General features: G+C 43.3%; 1 protein-coding gene and 1 long non-coding RNA gene across 37 annotated transcripts in view, besides 5 other annotated features; one reads left to right on the plus strand and one right to left on the minus strand.

Annotated features, from left to right (window-relative positions):
- Nucleotides 1-17,761, minus strand: part of APTX (aprataxin) — a 52,505-nt gene that overhangs the window by 20,828 nt on the left and 13,916 nt on the right. For 11 of the 36 annotated variants that reach the window (NR_160930.1, NR_036577.2, NR_160920.1 and 8 more), the window contains exon 1: nucleotides 8,124-8,185. The exons of 16 other annotated variants lie outside the window; for them this stretch is intronic. The gene's annotated coding sequence lies outside the window, so the exon portion shown is untranslated. Of the gene's footprint in view, nucleotides 1-3,799; nucleotides 3,906-7,889; nucleotides 8,186-17,761 lie in introns of those variants that run through there. 9 more of the 36 variants (NM_001369005.1, NM_175073.3, NM_001195251.2 and 6 more) reach the window with 3 other exon arrangements.
- Nucleotides 7,130-7,741: an enhancer, noted in NCBI's record as "NANOG-H3K27ac-H3K4me1 hESC enhancer chr9:33000571-33001182 (GRCh37/hg19 assembly coordinates)". NCBI's record gives its function as "activates a minimal SCP1, AML or CMV promoter by ChIP-STARR-seq in naive H9 embryonic stem cells {active_cell/tissue: H9 hESC(naive)}" and the evidence as "EXISTENCE:reporter gene assay evidence [ECO:0000049][PMID:30033119]".
- Nucleotides 7,584-7,643: a silencer, noted in NCBI's record as "silent region_19828". NCBI's record gives its function as "represses an Ori minimal core promoter by ATAC-STARR-seq in GM12878 lymphoblastoid cells {active_cell/tissue: GM12878}" and the evidence as "EXISTENCE:reporter gene assay evidence [ECO:0000049][PMID:35858748]".
- Nucleotides 7,742-8,354: an enhancer, noted in NCBI's record as "NANOG-H3K27ac-H3K4me1 hESC enhancer chr9:33001183-33001795 (GRCh37/hg19 assembly coordinates)". NCBI's record gives its function as "activates a minimal SCP1, AML or CMV promoter by ChIP-STARR-seq in naive H9 embryonic stem cells {active_cell/tissue: H9 hESC(naive)}" and the evidence as "EXISTENCE:reporter gene assay evidence [ECO:0000049][PMID:30033119]".
- Nucleotides 7,742-8,383: a biological region, named in NCBI's record as "NANOG-H3K27ac-H3K4me1 hESC enhancer GRCh37_chr9:33001183-33001795".
- Nucleotides 8,114-8,383: an enhancer, noted in NCBI's record as "active region_28267". NCBI's record gives its function as "activates an Ori minimal core promoter by ATAC-STARR-seq in GM12878 lymphoblastoid cells {active_cell/tissue: GM12878}" and the evidence as "EXISTENCE:reporter gene assay evidence [ECO:0000049][PMID:35858748]".
- Nucleotides 8,334-9,302, plus strand: LOC124902140 (uncharacterized). Its single transcript, XR_007061454.1, has 2 exons — nucleotides 8,334-8,616; nucleotides 8,734-9,302. It is a non-coding gene; the product is annotated as an uncharacterized LOC124902140 (long non-coding RNA).

Below are 17,761 nucleotides of genomic sequence, written 5' to 3' on the forward strand. Positions count from 1 at the left end.
GTCATGTCCATTTTCGCTTATCAATATATCTGTAGCACCTAATCTAACACTTGGCATACAGCGGGCATACAATAAATATTTACAAGTGAATTATCAAATGCTATTTACTCTCTGCATGAGAGTAATAATTATCCCAGTTTTCTTTCCTGCCTTCTCTCTCCCTTCCTTCTATGGCTCTTCTTACGATGGAATGCTCTGTTCCTCTCTTTGGGCAATCCCATCCATTCTCACATCTAGGTGGATAAATCCCAATTCTCTATTTTTCACCTCTATATCTTTTTTTTTTTTTTTTTTTGAGACAGAGTTTTGCTGTTGCCCAGGCTGGAATGCAGTGGCGCAATCTCAGCTCACTGCAAACTCCACCTCATGGGTTCAAGCAATTCTCCTGCCTCAGCCTCCTGAGCAGCTGGGATTACAGGGGTGCATTACCACACCTGACTACTTTTTGTATTTTTAATAGAGACGGGGTTTCACCATGTTGGCCAGGCTGGTCTCGAACTCCTGATGTCAGGCGATCCGCCCACCTCGGCCTCCCAAAGTGCTGGGATTACAGGCGTGAGCCACCGCGCCCGGCCCAGCTCTATATCTTTCATTCTAGAGTTGAGGGGATCCGTCAGAAAGAAATTCTGATTATTCCTTAAAGAACTCAAGTGATCTGATAGACCACACAAGGCCAGAAATCAGGTAACCTCAAATAGTGCTGTCCAATAGAATTTTCTGCAATGACGGAAATGTTCTAAACCTGAACTGTCCAATAAATTACCCACCACGTGACAATCGAGCATCTAAAATGTAGCTAGTACAACAGAGAAACTACATTTTTTACTTAATAGTTAAATAACTCCACGTGGCTGGGGGGCTACCATAATATCCACCACAGTCCTGGAAACTTGCCCTGCCCTGATCCATCTCAAGTCCCTCAGGCCTGAAGTTAAGCTCATCATACTGTAACTCCACAGTGCTTATGTATTTCACCTCCCGTTCCTCTTCACAGAACTAGTCCCACTTGCCCATCCCTCTCTCTCCTCTCTTCCCCAAGAAACACATACATACTGGCATACCTGCTTTGTGCTCTGCTCTATTACATTTGAAAGATATTGCATTTTTTACAAATTGACAGTTTGTGGCAAATCTGTGTCAAGCAAGTCTTTCAGTGCCATTTTTCCAACAGCATGTGCTCACTTCAGGTCTCTGTGTCACATTTTAGTAATTCTCACAATATTTCAAACTTTTTCGTTATTATTATATCTGTTACAATGATCTGTGATCAGTGATCTTTGATCTTTGATGCTACTGGAAGAAAATGCCATCTAGGACTTTCACAGGTAGAGAGAAGTCAATGCCTGACTTCAAAGCTTCAAGGACAGGCTGTCTTGTTAGGGACTAATGCAGATGGAGACTTTAAACTGAAGCCAACGCTCATTTACCATTTCAGAAATCCTAAGGCCCTTAAGAATTATACTCAGTCCACTCTGCCTGTGCTCTATAAATGGAACAACAAAGCCTGGACGACAGCATGACTGACTGAATATTTTAAGATCTCTGTTAAGAACTACTGCTCATAAAAAAAAGATTCCTTTCAAAATATTACTGCTCATTGACAATGCACCCAAGATCCCTGATGGAGATATATTATACAGGGAGATAAATATTGTTTTCGTGCTTGATAAAACAACATCCATTCTGCAGCCCATGGATCAAGGAGTAATTCTGACTTTCAAGTGTTATTAATTAAGAAATACATTTCATAAGGGTATAGCTGCTATCAACTGTGATTCTTCTGATGGACCTGGAAAAAGTAAATTGAAAACCTTCTGAAAAGGATACAACCATTCTAGATGCCCTTAAGAACATCTGTAATTTATGGGAGGAGGTCAAAATATTAACATAAACAGGAGTTTGGAAAAAGTTGATTCCAACCCTTATGGATGACTTTCAGGGGTTCAAGACTTCAATGGAGGAAGTCACTCCCAATATAGCAGAAATAAAGAGAACTAAAATTATAAGTAGAACCTGAAGATGTGACTGAAATGCTGCAATCTCATGATCATACTTTAATGGATGAGGAGTTGCTTCTTATGGATGTGCAAAGAAAACGGTCTCTTGAGATGAAATCTATTCCTGATGAAGATGTAATGAACATTACCAAAACGCCAACAAAGGGCTGGGTGTTATGGCTCACACCTGTAATCCCAGCACTTTGGGAGGCCAAGGCGGGCGGATCACGAGGTCAGGAGATCGAGACCATCCTGGCTAACACGGTGAAACCCAGTCTCTACTAAAAATACAAAAAAATTAGCCGGGCGTGGTGGCGGGCACCTGTAGTCCCAGCTACTCTGGAGACTGAGGCAGGAGAATGGTGTGAATCCGGGAGGCGGAGCTTGCAGTGAACCGAGATCGCGCCACTGCACTCCAGCCTGGGCGACAGAGCGAGTCTCCGTCTCAAAAAAAAAAAAAAAAAGAAATTGCCACAGACATCCAAACCTTCAGCAACTATGACCCTGATCAGTCAGCAGCCACCAACGTCAAGGCAAGACCCCCCCTACATCAGCAAAAAGATCACAACTCACTGAAGGCTCAGGTGACTATTAGCAATTTTTAGCAAAGTACTTTTAATTAAGGTGTGTACATTGTTTGTTCAGCCATAATGCTATTGCACACTTAACAGACTACAGTATAGTATAAACATAACTTTTATATGCACTAAGAAACCAAAACATGCATATGTTCACTTTATTGCAGTTGTCTAGAACCAAACCCACGTCTCTGAGGTATGCCTGTATGTATACCCTTCAAGTATAATATACTGAACAGCATCTCCCAAATAAATCGCTCTTTTTTTTTTTTTTCTGAGACAGGGTCTCACTCTGTTGCCCAGATTGGGTGCAGGGCGTCATCACAGCTCACTGCAGCCTCAACTTCCTTGGGCTAAAGTGGTCCTCCAGCCTCAGCCTCTGGAGTAGCTGGGACTACAGACACACACCACCATGCCTTGCTAATTTATTTTATTTTGAGATGGGGTTCTCACTATGTTGCCTACACTGGTCTGAAACTCCTGGCCTCAAGCAATCCTCCTGTCTTGACCTCCCAAAGTGCACGGATTACAGGTAGGAGCCACACCTGGCCTAAGTCATTCTTAATATGGTCTCCTGGTATTCCTTTCTCCTAAAACCCAAATCCTATTTAACTTTCAAGCCTCACCTCCTCCCTAAAGCCTTCATTGAGCTGTCTTCTCTTCTCTACATCTTATTATTGGATGTGGTCAAACTACCTTCACAGTTCTCTGACTGTTTAATGTGGATGTAATTCTACTTTCCAAACAAGATTATAATCTCCCTGCTAACAGACTGCATCACTGCCTACGCATTCACAAAACAATGAGGAGGGGTTTCGGGAGATCACTGTCCTGGGCCAGGCCTAGTCTTTACTCCAGGATCCCCCGGTTTTCAGCACCTTTATCAAGTGCATACTATGTGCTAGGCACTATGCTAAATGTCTTACTTACATGGTCTCATTTTAACACTCACAACTCCATTCTGAGAAGAGAAAATTCAGGATGAGAAGATAAGTAACATGTTCAAGTCACATAGCCAATATGTGCCAGAACTACAATTTGAATTCCAAAGAATGGGTTCTTAACCACTGCATCATATAACTTTTGGCTTCACTCATTTGATCGTTCAGTCAAAATTACTACACTCCTGTGTATCTTGTGCCATTCTAGTACTGGGAATAAAGAGATAATATATGAGCCCAGCCTTCAAAAAACTCAGCCTTAGCCAGGCATGGTGGCACGTACCTGTAGTCCCTGCTACTTGGGAGACTGAGGTGGAAGGATTGCTTGAGCCTAGGGGTTCAAGTCCAGCTTGGGCAACACAGCAACACCTCATCTAAAAAAAATAAATCTTGTGGAGGAGAAAAACACAAACAATTATGTTAATAGTAGATGTGGTAAACATGATGATTGCTCTGTGCAAAGGGTGGAAGCACAATGCTAGAGTACCCAACCGAGATTGGGAGGAAGGAGGTGTCAGGAAAAAATTTCCTGGAGGAGGTGGACCTAAACTTTATAACTGAGTCCCATTTATAAACTGGGTTAATTAGGTGAAAAGGAGCAGCCTAATTAGGTGAGGAGCAGGAGGTGGAGAAAGGAAACAGGGAGAAGATTCCAAGCAAAGAGAACAAGGGCAAGTACACAAAGAAGAAATAGCACAGTACCCATGAAGATGCCATTCAGTGTTGCTGGAACCTAAAGCATGAGGCAGAGAAGAGGCTGGAGATACAGGCAGGGTTCAGAACAGGCAGAGCCCTGGCTGAGAAGCTCAAACTTTAGAACTTTCAATGGATTTTGCAAGCCAGTAGACAATGAATGTTTGCTGAATGAATTAGAGAAAAGAATGGATGAATGCATGGACAGATCTTTAAAGATTAAGCAGGAATTTGATACAGACTTGTTTCCAAAGACCATCTGGGGGTGGAGGGGAGTAATGTGAAGAAAAGATATGGGGGAACAGGCCTAGAAGCAGGGAAATCAGTTAGAAGGCCATGATATTGCAGGTAAAAGGACAACAGTAGAGATGGAGAAGACTGCACAGATTTGAGAGATGTTTAGGGGGTAAAACTATCAGGACTTAGTGATGAATGTGATAAGAGTTAAGTCCAGGAAAGACACTGAGTTCAGTTTCAGTCATCTGAATTTGAAGTGTCTGTGGGACTTGCAGGCAGAGCTGTCCAGGAGGATAGTCAGATGTGAGGGTAAAGCTCAGAGAGGTCTAAGCTGACAATTTCAATTTGGGGGCATGTAGGAGGTAGTTAAAACCAAGCCAGCTGATGGGTTCACTCAGGCAATGTGTACAGAATGAAAAGAACAGTTTTCATTCTGAATGCTGGTAATATTATGTATCTGTAACCTAATCTGGATGGTGGTCACATAGGTATAATCATTTTATAAAAACTGGTCAAGCTTCACATCCACATGTATGTTTATTGCAGCACTATTAACAATAGCAAAGAGTTGGAACCAACCCAAATGCCCATCAATGATAGACTGGATAAAGAAAATGTGGCACATATATACCATGGAATATTATACAGCCATAAAAAAGAATGAGTTCATGTCCTTTGCAGGGACATGGATGAAGCTGGAAACCATCATTCTCAGCAAACTAACACAGGAACAGAAAACCAAACACCACATGTTCTCACTCATAAGTGGGAGTTGAACAATGAGAACACATGGGCAGAGGGAGGGGAACATCACACACTGGGGCGTGTCAGGGGGTGAGGGGCTAGGGGAGGGATAGCATTAGGAGAAATACCTAATGTAGATGACAGGTTGATGGGTGCAGCAAACCACTATGGCACTTAGTATACACCTATGTAACAAACATGCACGTTCTGCACATGTATCCCAGAACTTAAAGTATAAAAAAAAAATTGGTCAAGCTAAAAAAAAAAAAAGAACAGTTTTTCATTGTTTATATGCCAAAGTCACAAACAACAGAAACACCCAACATTTTAGGGAAGGAGGAAAATGACTACCCATAGCAGAAATGACTGGTAAGAAAGGCACATGGAGAACAGCTAGAATGTAAATTCCTTAAGAGAAAACAATTTATCTGTCTTGTTCATCTCTGTATCCCAATCAATACTTGTTGAATAAATCATCTGAGAGCACTGACACGTAAAGCAAAGAAGAAGGGAGTAAAGGGATGACCAAGTTCCAAAAGCAGCAAAGAGATCCAGTAATAATCAAAAAATTTTTATCTGGTTTGACAATAGTCACTGGTGACCTTGGGGTGAAATTTCAGGGGAATGATGGGTCTGAGAGCTAGATACAGAAGGAAACAAAAGGTGAGGAAATGGAGGCAGAGTTCAGAATACTCACTAAAACAGTTTGGATATAAAGAGAAAGAAAGTTATTGGATGACAGCTAAAGTTATAATGGACCACCAAGGAGTTTTTCTTTCTTCGGCAACGGGAAGTGTCAGAGATCTGAGAAACCTGGCCTTGTTTATACACGACTGGAAACAGAAATGACAAATGAAAACAAGGTCTCATAAGTGACAGCATAAAATATCAGAAGCAAACATAAAGAAACTGCTCTGATTAGAGAGACAATTCATCCTCTGAGACAAAAGGAAAAGGGTATAAATCTTGATGACTTTAAAAGGGAAAGCAGAGGCAGAAATGTGAGGGAAAGCACATCTCATGACCCTAATTTTCTCCATAAAATAAAAGGTAACAAACAGGCCGGGTGCGGTGGCTCACGCCTGTAATCCCAGCACTTTGGGAGGCCGAGGCAGGCAGATTACGAGGTCAGGAGATCAAGACCATCCTGGCTAACACGGTGAAACCCCGTCTCTACTAAAAAATACAAAAAATTAGCCGGGCGTGGTGGTAGACGCCTGTAGTCCTGAGCCAGGAGAATGGCGTGAACCCGGGAGGCGGAGCTTGCAGTGAGCCGAGATCGCGCCACTGCACTCCAGCCTGGGCGACAGAGACTCCGTCTCAAAAAAATATAAAAATAAAAATAAAAGGTAACAAAGAGTAGGTGTCTGGGAGCTTAATGGACAGTCGAAGAAAAACAATATAGAACAGTGGCGAAGATCAAGGTCTCTGAAGTTGGACTGCCTGAATTCAAACATTGGTTCTACCACCTACTCGCTGTGTGACTTGAGGCAAGTTATTTAACCTCTCCAAGCCTTCATTCCCTCAAGTGTCAAGCGGTATTAACAATTGCTCTACACCATGGGGTTGTCACAAGAGCTAAAGGACAAAGTATGTAAAGCTCAGTGTCTGATAAAAAGCATTCAACACTATTATCACTCTTGTTAATAGCGAAGGTAGGGCAAGCAGGAGCTGTGGACATATAAAAAGATCATTTGAAAGCAATAACTGCGGCTGGGCACAGTGGCTCACGCCTGTAATCCCAACACTTTGGGAGGCCGAGGGGGGCGAATCACCTGAGGTCAGGAGTTTGAGACCAGCCTGGCCAACATGGTGAAACCCCATCTCTACTAAAAATACAAAAAATTAGCCAGGCGTCGTGGCACACGCCTGTAATCCCAGCTCCTTGGGAGGCTGAGGCAGAGATAGCTTGAACCCGGGAGACGGAGGTTGCAGTGAGGCGAGATCACGCCGTTGCTCTCCAGCCTGGGTAACAGAGTGAGACTCTGTCTCAAAAAAAAAAAAAAAAAAAAAAGAAAAGAAAAGAAAAAGAAAAAAAGAAAGTAATAACTGTGTAACTAAGAAGAACGAGCACAAATCTGTATTGTCTCACATATGAACAATCCCCAAAAGTTCCAAACCTAGATCACAGCAATTCCAAATAGAAATTTTATCCCTGCTTTGTTAAGCCACTATCACTGGTATGTATGGGGAAAGGCTTTTTTTTTTTTTCTTTTTTTTTTTTTTTTTGAGACGGAGTTTCGCTCTTGGCATGCCCAGGCTGGAGTGCAATGGCGCGATCTCAGCTCACCACAAACTCCGCCTCCCGGGTTCAAGAACGTCTCCTGCCTCACCCTCCCGAGTAGCTGGGATTACAGGCATGCGCCACCACACCTGGCTAGTTTTGTATTTTTAGTAGAGACGGGGTTTCTCCATGTCGGTCAGGCTGGTCTGGAACTCCCGACCTCAGGTGATCCGCCCGCCTCGGCCTCCCAAAGTGCTGGGATTACAGGCATGAGCCACCCCGCCCGGCCAAGGACTGCTTCTTCTGGCATTCCCTACAAGGCCTGTTGAGGATGCTGCTAAGGTCCCTCAAGTGCCTTTCACGAAGCATTTCTGGCGGAAACGCTGCCCTTCCCGACAAGCTGGGCCGCCTCCTTGGTTGGACAGGGCCCATTCTCTAATATTTTTTCGGCTTGTGTTGCGACCAAGGTACATACAGGTGTCGGGAGCACACGTGAACAAACGCAAAGTGGGTCGAAGACCAACGCGAGCGCCCGCTGAAACAGCCCAAGGTAGTAACAGGGGAGGACGGAGAAAGCAGCCGTGAGAGCAGCGCATGAAAGCAGCGTCATTCAAGGCACATCACTCAAGGGTAGGAGCAGCCTCGGCCGAACGCTCACCCGCGGCATTGAGCCCAGCCAGCAGAAGAGATAGGCTGACGACCGCCTTACCTCCAGAAGTCGGAGACGGACAAATTCACGTTACTCATCTGTGCCTCACCGCTTCCGGCGCTGCGGGATGACGTCAGAGGCCGGCTGTATCGCGACCAGTGACGTCACCAGCACCTCTCTAACGGATTGGCTGAAAGAATCTTGCCCACTTCCCAGATCAAAAAGCGTCCGCCCCAATTGGGTTCTCTCTGGGCCGTGGTCCAACTGAGGATCCTGGAAGTTATGCCTGTGGGGACCAGCTCTCTCAGCATCTCTCTGCCTGAGGGCCACTCGCCTGTCACTGCCTCACAGTCTCTGAATTGGGTGACATTTCAGACCCAATCCCTCTGTGGACGTTTCTAGGTGGCTGTGCAGCTTCTCGATACTCCATAAGGAGACGTTCACAACCTTTAAGGCCATCTCTCCTGCTGCAGACAACCTGCTGTAGCACTGCTACTTGCTTTTTAAACTACAGTCCGCTTTCTCCTTTGTGCAGGGAGGAAAGAATGGAGCGGTAAGAGGCAGGGAAACCTGTTTTTTGTAGTGCTGTGTACACTAAATGAACTGAGGGGCAATCCGGGAGAAAAAAAGCAAGATGCAGGGATAAGATGCGTGTACTGATTTTTTACAGCAATTCCAGAAAGTTCCCTAAGAATCATATTGCAGTTATTCAAAGGCATTTTGGCAGAAGGAACAATCCCTATCTCGGAGGTAAAAGTATAGTTTATAATTTTTCTCAAGTACAACACACTGGCAAAAATTCTTTGGTTGAATTAGGTTTCTGAATTTTCTGCTAGGCCCATCTGTGCACTTCCCTGTAAAATCCAGTTTTAGCACAGACCCTGGCTAAGTCAGTTTACCAAGAACCACCACCACCACCCCGCCTTATGTGGTTATTCTCAATATCTGATCAGGTTCCTTATTCTCCACTATCCCCCAGATGATGTCTGATTACCTTGGCCTGTCTCCAGCAAGAATCCTGTTAGGTATATTTAGCCAGAAACTCCTTTACCCCGATGTTTCCTCTTAGTAATTTTCCATCCACTGACCCCTACACAGCTCCTTGGCCATAAATGCCCACTTGCCCATGCTGCTGTTTGGAGTTGAGCCTAATCTCTCTTCCACTGCAAAACCCCGTTGCAGTGAGCTCTATATACCTATCATGAAGTTCCTGAATAAAGTCTTCCTTACCATGCTTCAGCAAGTATCATTGAATAATCTTTTCTTTAACAAAATTGAGATTTAAGGAGTCACATTCTTCATCAAGGTGGAGTATTGTTTCCTTCCATGGAAAAGCAGAGACTTAATGGTATGATGAAGCTATCAGAGCCTTCAAGACAGAAGGTGGGAGGATCTTCCAAGAAACACAGAGGACAGGCTTGCTTTTGTTAGCAGAGAAGATGCAGGTTTATATTAGGGTCATATAAGGAAGTGGGAAAACACAAGCAGCATCTCAGCAGCCACACAGGCCTTACAGCTGAGGAATGTTGTTCACAACTGCCCAAGATAAAAAGAGGCAACTCTGGTGACCTGACCAGTTTTGTTGTTCCCTCAATTAAGCATCCCTCTCGGTTAAGGGTGCTTCTTTGACCTGCCTTTGTGTGTCTTGCATCCAAAAGTTGGATTGGATCATTCTAATTACATCATTCACTATATAATGTGCAAAATTGGGCAGAGTTTCCACGTCCTGCTTGTTAGGCCTAGTCCATTGTCTATAGTGTATTAGTGGCCAGAAAAGCAAGATCACATGGCACAATGTATAGCTAAAGGTATGGCAGGCAGTGAAGACTTTCAGGCACTTCATATTGCCATGCTAATCACCAGAACTTTTTCATCTTGAAAAACTGAAACTCGGCCAGGCACGGTGGCTCACACCTGTAATCCCAGCACTTTGGGAGGCCAACGCAGGTGGATTACCTGAGGTCAGGAGTTCAAGACCAGCCTGGCGTGGCGGAACTCGCCTGTAGTCCCAGCTACTTGGGAGGCTGAAGCAGAAGAATTGCTTGAACCCGGGAGGTAGAGGTTGCAGTGAGCCAAGATCACTCCACTGCACTCCAGCCTGGGCGATAGAGCAAGACTCTGCCTCAAAAAAAAAACTCCGTATCGATTAAATAGCTCCCTATTTTCCCTCCCCCACCTGGCAACCACCATTCTACTTACAGTTTTCATGAGTCTGACCACTCTAGGTACCTCATGTAAGTAAAATCAGACAGTATTTGCCCATTTGCGACTGGCTTATTTCACTTAATATAATGTCCTCAAGTTTCATCCACATTGTATCATGTGTAAAAAGTTCCTTTTTAAAGCTGAATAACACTCCATTGCATGTACACACCATACTTTATCCATTCATCCACCCGTGGATATTCCACCATTTGGCTATTGTGAATAATGCTGCTATGAACATGAGTGTATAAATATCTCTTTGAGATCCTGTTTTCACAATTTGCAATTGCAAGAACATGGAACCAACCTAAATGCCCATGAACTGATGAATGCATAAAGAAAATGTCGTACATATACACCACAGAATACTACTCAGCCATAAAGAAGAATGAAATAATGTCTTTTGAAGCAACTTGAATGGAACTGGAGGCCATTTTTCTAAGTGAAGTAACTCAGGAATGGAAAACCAAATACCACATGTTCTCACTTATAATTGGCAGCTAAGCTTTGGGTATGTAAAGGCATACAGAGTGGTATAATGTTCATTGGAGATTCAGAAGTGGAGAGAGTGGGAGGAAGATGAGAGATTTTAAAAAACTACATATTGGGTGTAACTATTACTCGGGTGATAGGTACACTAAAATTTCAGACTTCACCATTATACACTTCATCCATGAAACCAAAAACCATTTGTACCCCTAAAGCCACTGAAATTTGTTTTTAATGTGAAACAATTTTTAAAAATTCTTCTTTCAATTATTTTGAATATATACACAGAAGTGAAACTGCTGGATTATATGGTAATTCCATTTTTAATATTTTGAGGAACTGTCACACTGTTTTCCATAGCAGCTGGATGATTTTACATTTCTACCAATAGTGTACAAGAGTTCCAATTTCTCCACATTCTTGCCAACCCTTTTTTTTTTTTTTTTTTTTGAGATGGAGTCTCGCTCTGTCACCCAGGCTGGAGTGCAGTGGTGCAATCTCGGCTCCCTGCAACCTCCACCTCGCGGCTTAAGGCGATTCTCCTGCCTCAGCCTCCTGAGTAGCTGGGACTACAGGTGCCTGCCACCACACCCGGGTAATTTTTGTATTTTTTTTTTTTTTAGAAGAGATGGGGTTTCACCATATTGGCCAGGCTGATCTCAAACTCCTGACCTTGTGATCCACCCACCTCGGCCTCCCAAAGTGCTGGGATTACAGGTGTGAGCCACTGCGCCCGGCCGCTTGTTACTTTTTTTTGATAGCAGCCATCCTAATGGGTGTGAAATGGTATCTCATTGTGGTTTTGCTTTGTATTTCCCTAATGATTAGTGATGTTGATCTTTTCATAAGCTTCCTGTCTATTTGTATGTATTTGGAGAAATGTCTATTCAAGTACTTCATTTTTTAATGGGGTTATTTTTGTTTTGTTTTGTTGTAGGAGTTCTTTATATATTCTGGATATTGACCTCTGATCAAATATAAGATTCCCATTTCATAGGGTGCTTTTCACTCTGCTTGCTGGCTGTATCCCTGGATGCACAAAACTTAATTGTGAAGTACTTTAATTTACCTATTTTTACTTTTGCTGCCTGTCTTTTGGTGTTATATCCAAGAAAACATTGCCAAATCTGTCATGAAACTTTTCCCTTATGTTTTCTAAGAGTTTTATAGTTTTAGGTCTTATGTTTAGGTCTTTGATCCATTTTTGAGGTGTGGTTTTATTTTTTTGTTTTTTGTTTTTGTTTTTGTTTTTGTGAGACAGAGTCTTGCTCTGTTGCCCAGGCTGGAGTGCAGTGATGCAATCACAGCTTACTGCAGCCTTGACCACCCAGACTCAAACAATCCTCCCACCTCAGCCTCCCAAGTAGCTGGGACTACAAGCATGTCCCACCAAGCCTGGCTAATTTTTTTTTTAATAGAGACAGAGGTCTTGCTATGTTGCCCAGGCTGATCTTGAACTCCTGGGCTCAAGCAATCCTCCTGCCTCAGCCTCCCAAAGTGCTGACATTACAGGTGTGAGACACTGTGCCTGGCCTTGAGTTCATTTTCTGTACTATGTAAGGTAAGGCTCCAACTTCAATTTTTTGCATGTGGATACCCAGATTTTAACAATATCATTTGTTGAAAAGACTGCCCTTTCCTCACTGAATGGTATTGACATACTTACTGAATATCATTTAATCATTTATGCAAGGATTTACTTCTGGGATTTCTATTGTATTCCATCAGTCTGTATGTCTGTCTTTACACTAGTACTGCACTGTTTTGATTACTATAGCTTTGTAATACTTTTTGAAATCAGGAAGTATAAGAACTTTATTCTTTTTTTTTTCAAGATTGTTTTTGGCTACTCTGCTCAGGGTTTTGTTGTTTGTTTGTTTGTTTGTTTGTTTTAATTCCAACAGTTAGAAATGAGATCTCACATGAAAACCTGGATTCTGGCTGGGCTCAGTGGCTCATGTGTGTAATCCCAGCATTTGGGAAGATGAGTCAGGAGGATTGCTTGAGGCCAGGAGTTCAAGATCAGCCCAGCCAACATAGCAAGACCCTCTCTCTATAAAAAAAATTTTAATAAAAAGAATTTTTTTTAAAAATCAGGATTCCTGATCTCTTGGGGGAAAAATCAATAAATCTAGCCAAGTCTAACAACAAATAGCTAGAATTGTGAATAGCTGCCATGTGCTCTCCAGTTTGCCACTGTTTCCACCCACTCACTTATATAACCTGTCTGGCCCCCTGAAAGCCCTTCTTTCTTTAAGATTTTGAGACTCCTGCTCTAAGGGAAAAGCAGTTGGAGGCAGAGTACCTACCTGATCTAAGGGAAAAGCAGGTGAAGCCAGAGGCTGTGGTTGCCTGGTCCAGAGACTTGCTCAGAAGGAAAAATATGAAATTCTGAGAGAGAGTATAGCTGGGACACCTCATTTTGTTTTGGCATTTGGGGAAAGCTGTATTAGTCAGAGTTCTCCAGAGAAACAGTAGAGAGGGAGAGGGTTGTGAGGGCGTCAAGAAAGACCTATCTGGCCGGGTGCGGTGGCTCACACCTGTAATCCCAACACTTTGGGAGGCCGAGGCAGGCGAATCACGAGGTCAGGAGATCGAGACCATCCTGGCTAACATGGTGAAACCCCGTCTCTACTAAAAATACAAAAAATTAGCCGGGCAAGGTGGCGGGTGCCTGTAGTCCCAGCTACTTGGGAGGCTGAGGCAGGAGAAAGGTGTGAACCCAGGAGGCGGAGCTTGCAGTAAGCCTAGATTGCGCCACTACACTCTAGCCTGGGCGACAGAGCAAGACTCTGTCTCAAAAAAAAAAAAAAAAAAAAAAAAGAAAGAAAGAAAGAAAGAAAGGCCTATCTGAGGAAAGGACAATTAGACTGAGTCCAGAAAGACAGAAAGGAAACAAACACATGAAGACTTGATGGAAAAATATTCTAGGTCTGTGATCCAAACTGAGGAAAGAGCATGTACAAAGGCCCAATAGCAGGGCTTTTAGATTATTCTTTTAGAGTTGCTAGAAGTCCAGTGGAGGTGAAAATCCAATGGAGTTAGTGAAAGGAAGATAAGGAGGCCTGAGCAAGGACAATAGTAAACCATTTAAGAACTGTATGTGGATTCATCATTCATTGAAAAACCCCTGAAGAGTTAGTTAGGAAGTGACATATTTGATGTTCATTTTATGAAGGTCATTGTGGCTGCTGTGAGCAAGAATGGACTAGTGGGGAAGGCAAAAGCAGAAAAGTGGAAAGCAGTTAGCAGTTTACTGATGCAGTGCAAAGGACGTTGGCAGCCTGAACGAAGGGACAGAAGTTCACTGACTCAAGGGATATTTGGGGGCAGCATCAACTGGACAAGACAAAACATACTCTTTTCTATAGGCAGTCCTAGGTCTGATGCCAAATCATAAAAGTTATTTAGTGGTGATAGAATGAAAATCTAGCGAAACATAAATTTAGCTGCATGTTTCATATATCCAAAAACTTCTTACTGCAAGAACTGCGACATTGCCTTCTCTGACCATATACAGGTCTAAAGTGAGGGGATTTATGCTACTAAGTGTAATGAAAACGATATTAAAAAAAAAAAGTAGGTAAACATGTTTTCTCACCCCTAGGGTGAAACAACTTTGATGTGTGTACTACACTGTCTCCCCAACGCTCCCCACCAAGACTGAGCCCAGGCTGCCCAGAGGGGTACTCTGCCTATCAACCCGTCCTCTGCTGGTTTCCTTCCCATCCCTGTCTCACTTCTTCACTCCCCTGCTGGTAATTCTTGAGATCATCTCCAAAGTACCAGCATTCCAAATCCTTGTGACACTGTCTGCTCTGGGGGAATCCAACCTAATGCACTCCTCCTATTTTCTAGTATCATTTTATTTACTTTTTAGATAAGTTAACCTCCTACTGCTTCCCAACTTCGTTATGTCATGGCACAAAGATAAAATTCTAATATTTGCAGAACACATGGGGGTAAATCTGAGGGGAGGCCTATGAGGAGCTTGGTGAAAAAAATTTCCTTATTTTTTCTTTATAATTATATATAATAATATAAATAAACAACAAAGTATTGGGGAAAATAACATTGATTTTGGCTACATATCCAAGTAAAATATTTTTAGATTTTTTTTGATGAGGAAATTGAGCATATTTCTGTAAATATAACCTTTATGATATTAAGGTTTCATGATAAAATAGCTATACAATTTCTGACTAAGATTTTTTTTTTAAATTAGAGACAGGGTCTCACTGTGTTACCCAGGCTGGTCTCAAACTGTTGGCCTCAAGCAGTCCTCCAAACTCGGCCTCCCAAAGTGCTGGAATTACAGGTGTGAACCACCACACACAGCTTCTGATTAAGATTTTTTTTTTTTTTTTTTGAGATGGAGTCTCACTCTGTCACCCAGGCTGGAGTGCAGTGGCACGATCTTGGCTCACTGCAACCTCCACCTCCCTGGTTCAAGCAATTCTCCTGCCTCAGCCTCCCCAGTAGCTGGGATTACAGGCATGTGCCACCATGCCCGGCTAATTTTTGTATTTTTAGTAGAGATGGGGTTTTGCCATGTTGGCAAGGCTGGTATCGAACTCCTGACCTCAGGTGACCCACCCGCCTCTACCTCCCAAAGTGCTGGGATTACAGACGTGCGCCACCGCGTTGGCCTGATTGATTTTTTAATGATAATCTTTTCAAATTCTTGGTAATCATACCTGTAATTGGGACACCAGTTGAGCAGTTCTGTTCTATACATTACAGTGTAAACATGATGAGGTATTCATAAAAACTACACCCTGTAAATTCACTTTAAAATCTTCCAACTATAATTTACCCTCTATTATTTTCAACTCCTGCTTTTAGGACTGGTTAACTTCTCCCACTATGTGCTGATTTCTTGAATCTTATTAACTCTTAACTCTTTCAAGGATCTAATTTTTAAGAGTTTAGGAGATGATTACTGTAATCCCAAGCACTGACATTCATATCATTGGTGGTTTGTGGAAAATTTTATTTCAATTCAGCAATGCTGATCTGTGTAAATCACAGATCTTATAGTGGTCTATCCTGAAATTTCTTATAAACATTAAGAAGAAAGGCACAGGAATGCCTTCTAACTTACTTAACCTGCCTTGCCTTCCACCACCTCTTTAGTCCCAGCCTTGTACCAGCAATATTGAACTTCCTACCCTTTCCCCCACCCCAATACATCAGTATATTGAGTTCCTTGATGTTCGTGCTATTCTTTCTGGAATGTTATTCTTTCTTTTCTCCCTAATTCACTCTTGTCCCCTCCAATCCAATCACACTGCAACTAGAGAAAATATTTCACATGCCTGTAATCCCAGCATTTTAGGAGGCCGAGGCAGGAAGACTGCTTGAGACCAGAAGTTTGAGACCAGGCTGGGCAACAAAGTGAGACCCTCTCTCTATAAAAAATAAATAACTTAGCCGGGCACGGTGGTATGTGCCCGTGATCCCAGCTACTTGAGAGACTGAGGAAAGAGGACTGCTTGAGCCCAGAAGTCCAAGGCTGCAGTAAACCATGATTATGCCACTGCACTCCAGCCCTCCAGCCCAGGTAACAGGGCGATACTCTGTCTCTAAAAAAAATAATAATAAAGAAAAGAAAAGGGAAAAAAAATTCAAAACACAAACAAACCTGATCATGTCATTCCCCTGCTTAAATCCTTTACCAATGCTCATCAAATTAAGAATAAACTCCCTTGTTTGGTCAGTTTTACAGAAGTTCTTGTCCATCTCTCTAATCTCATCTACCACTCTCTCCTCGCCTATTTGCCCAAACACAGGGCCTTTCCTTCAATTTCTTGAACCCATTCAGTCAAGAGTCCTGGGTTGAAACTTAGAAAACTTCTCTGGCTACTTTAAAGACTGATGGGGCTGCCTTCTGCACCATCTCCAAACCATAAGAACCTTACGGTATCTGGGCCCTCAATCTCACAATCACAGACAGGCAATAGTAGTTCCCAGAACAGGAGGGCCTGGGCTCTTGGCACCGTCAGACCAGCTCCTCTTACTAGTCAACTGGGAGAGACATGGCTATAGGAGCCCACACGGATACCCACATCCCACAGTCTCAGGGTCTTGGCCTCCAGTCAGATGAAACCAAAGCAACTCTAGCTCTCCATTGGCTGGCGCATTCATTCATTCATTCAACTCTGAGCAACTTCTACATGTCAGGAATCACTCTAGGAGCTGGGGCTACCACAGTGAACAAAACAAAGTTCCTGCGTTCGCCAGGCGTGGTGGCTCACACCTGTAATCCCAGCACTTTGGGAGGCTGAGGCGGGTGGATCACTTGAGGTCAGAAGTTCAAGACCAGCCTGGTCAACATGGTGAAACCCCGTCCCTACTAAATATACAAAAATTAGCCAGGCTGGTGGCAGGCGCCTGTAACCCCAGCTACTCAGGAGGCTGAGGCAGGAGAATCGCTTGAACCCGGGAGGCAGAGGTTGCAGTGAGCCAAGATCATGCCATTGCACTCCAGCCTGGGCAACAAGAGTGAAACCTCGTTCCAAAAAAAAAAAAAAGTTCCTGCTTTCAAGGATCTTACAGTCTAAATGGGTGAGGCAGATCATAAGAAAAGAAAGATACAGGTCATGTGAGGATAAATGCTATAAAGAAAAAACAAGTGGGATATAGAAAGTGGTGAGGATGGCCGGGCGTGGTGACTAACGCCTGTAATCCCAACACGTTGGGAGGCCAAGGCAGGTGGATTGCCTGAGCTCAGGAGTTTGAGACCAGCCTGGCCAACATAGTGAAACCCCATCTTTACTAAAAAGTACAAAAATTAACAGAGCGTGGTGGTGCACGCCTGTAATCCCAGTTACTTGGGAAGCTGAGGCATGAAAATTGCTTGAACCTGAGAGGCAGAGGTTGTAGTGAGCTGAGATCGTGCCACTGCACTACAGCCTGCGTGACAGAGTGAGACTCCGTCTCAAAAAAAAGAAAAAAAAAAGTGGTGAGGATGTCTTGGTAGTGTGGGAGGCCTCTCTTGAGCA

This window comes from Homo sapiens, chromosome 9 (genome assembly GCF_000001405.40).
Source record: "Homo sapiens chromosome 9, GRCh38.p14 Primary Assembly".
Lineage (NCBI taxonomy): Eukaryota > Metazoa > Chordata > Mammalia > Primates > Hominidae > Homo > Homo sapiens.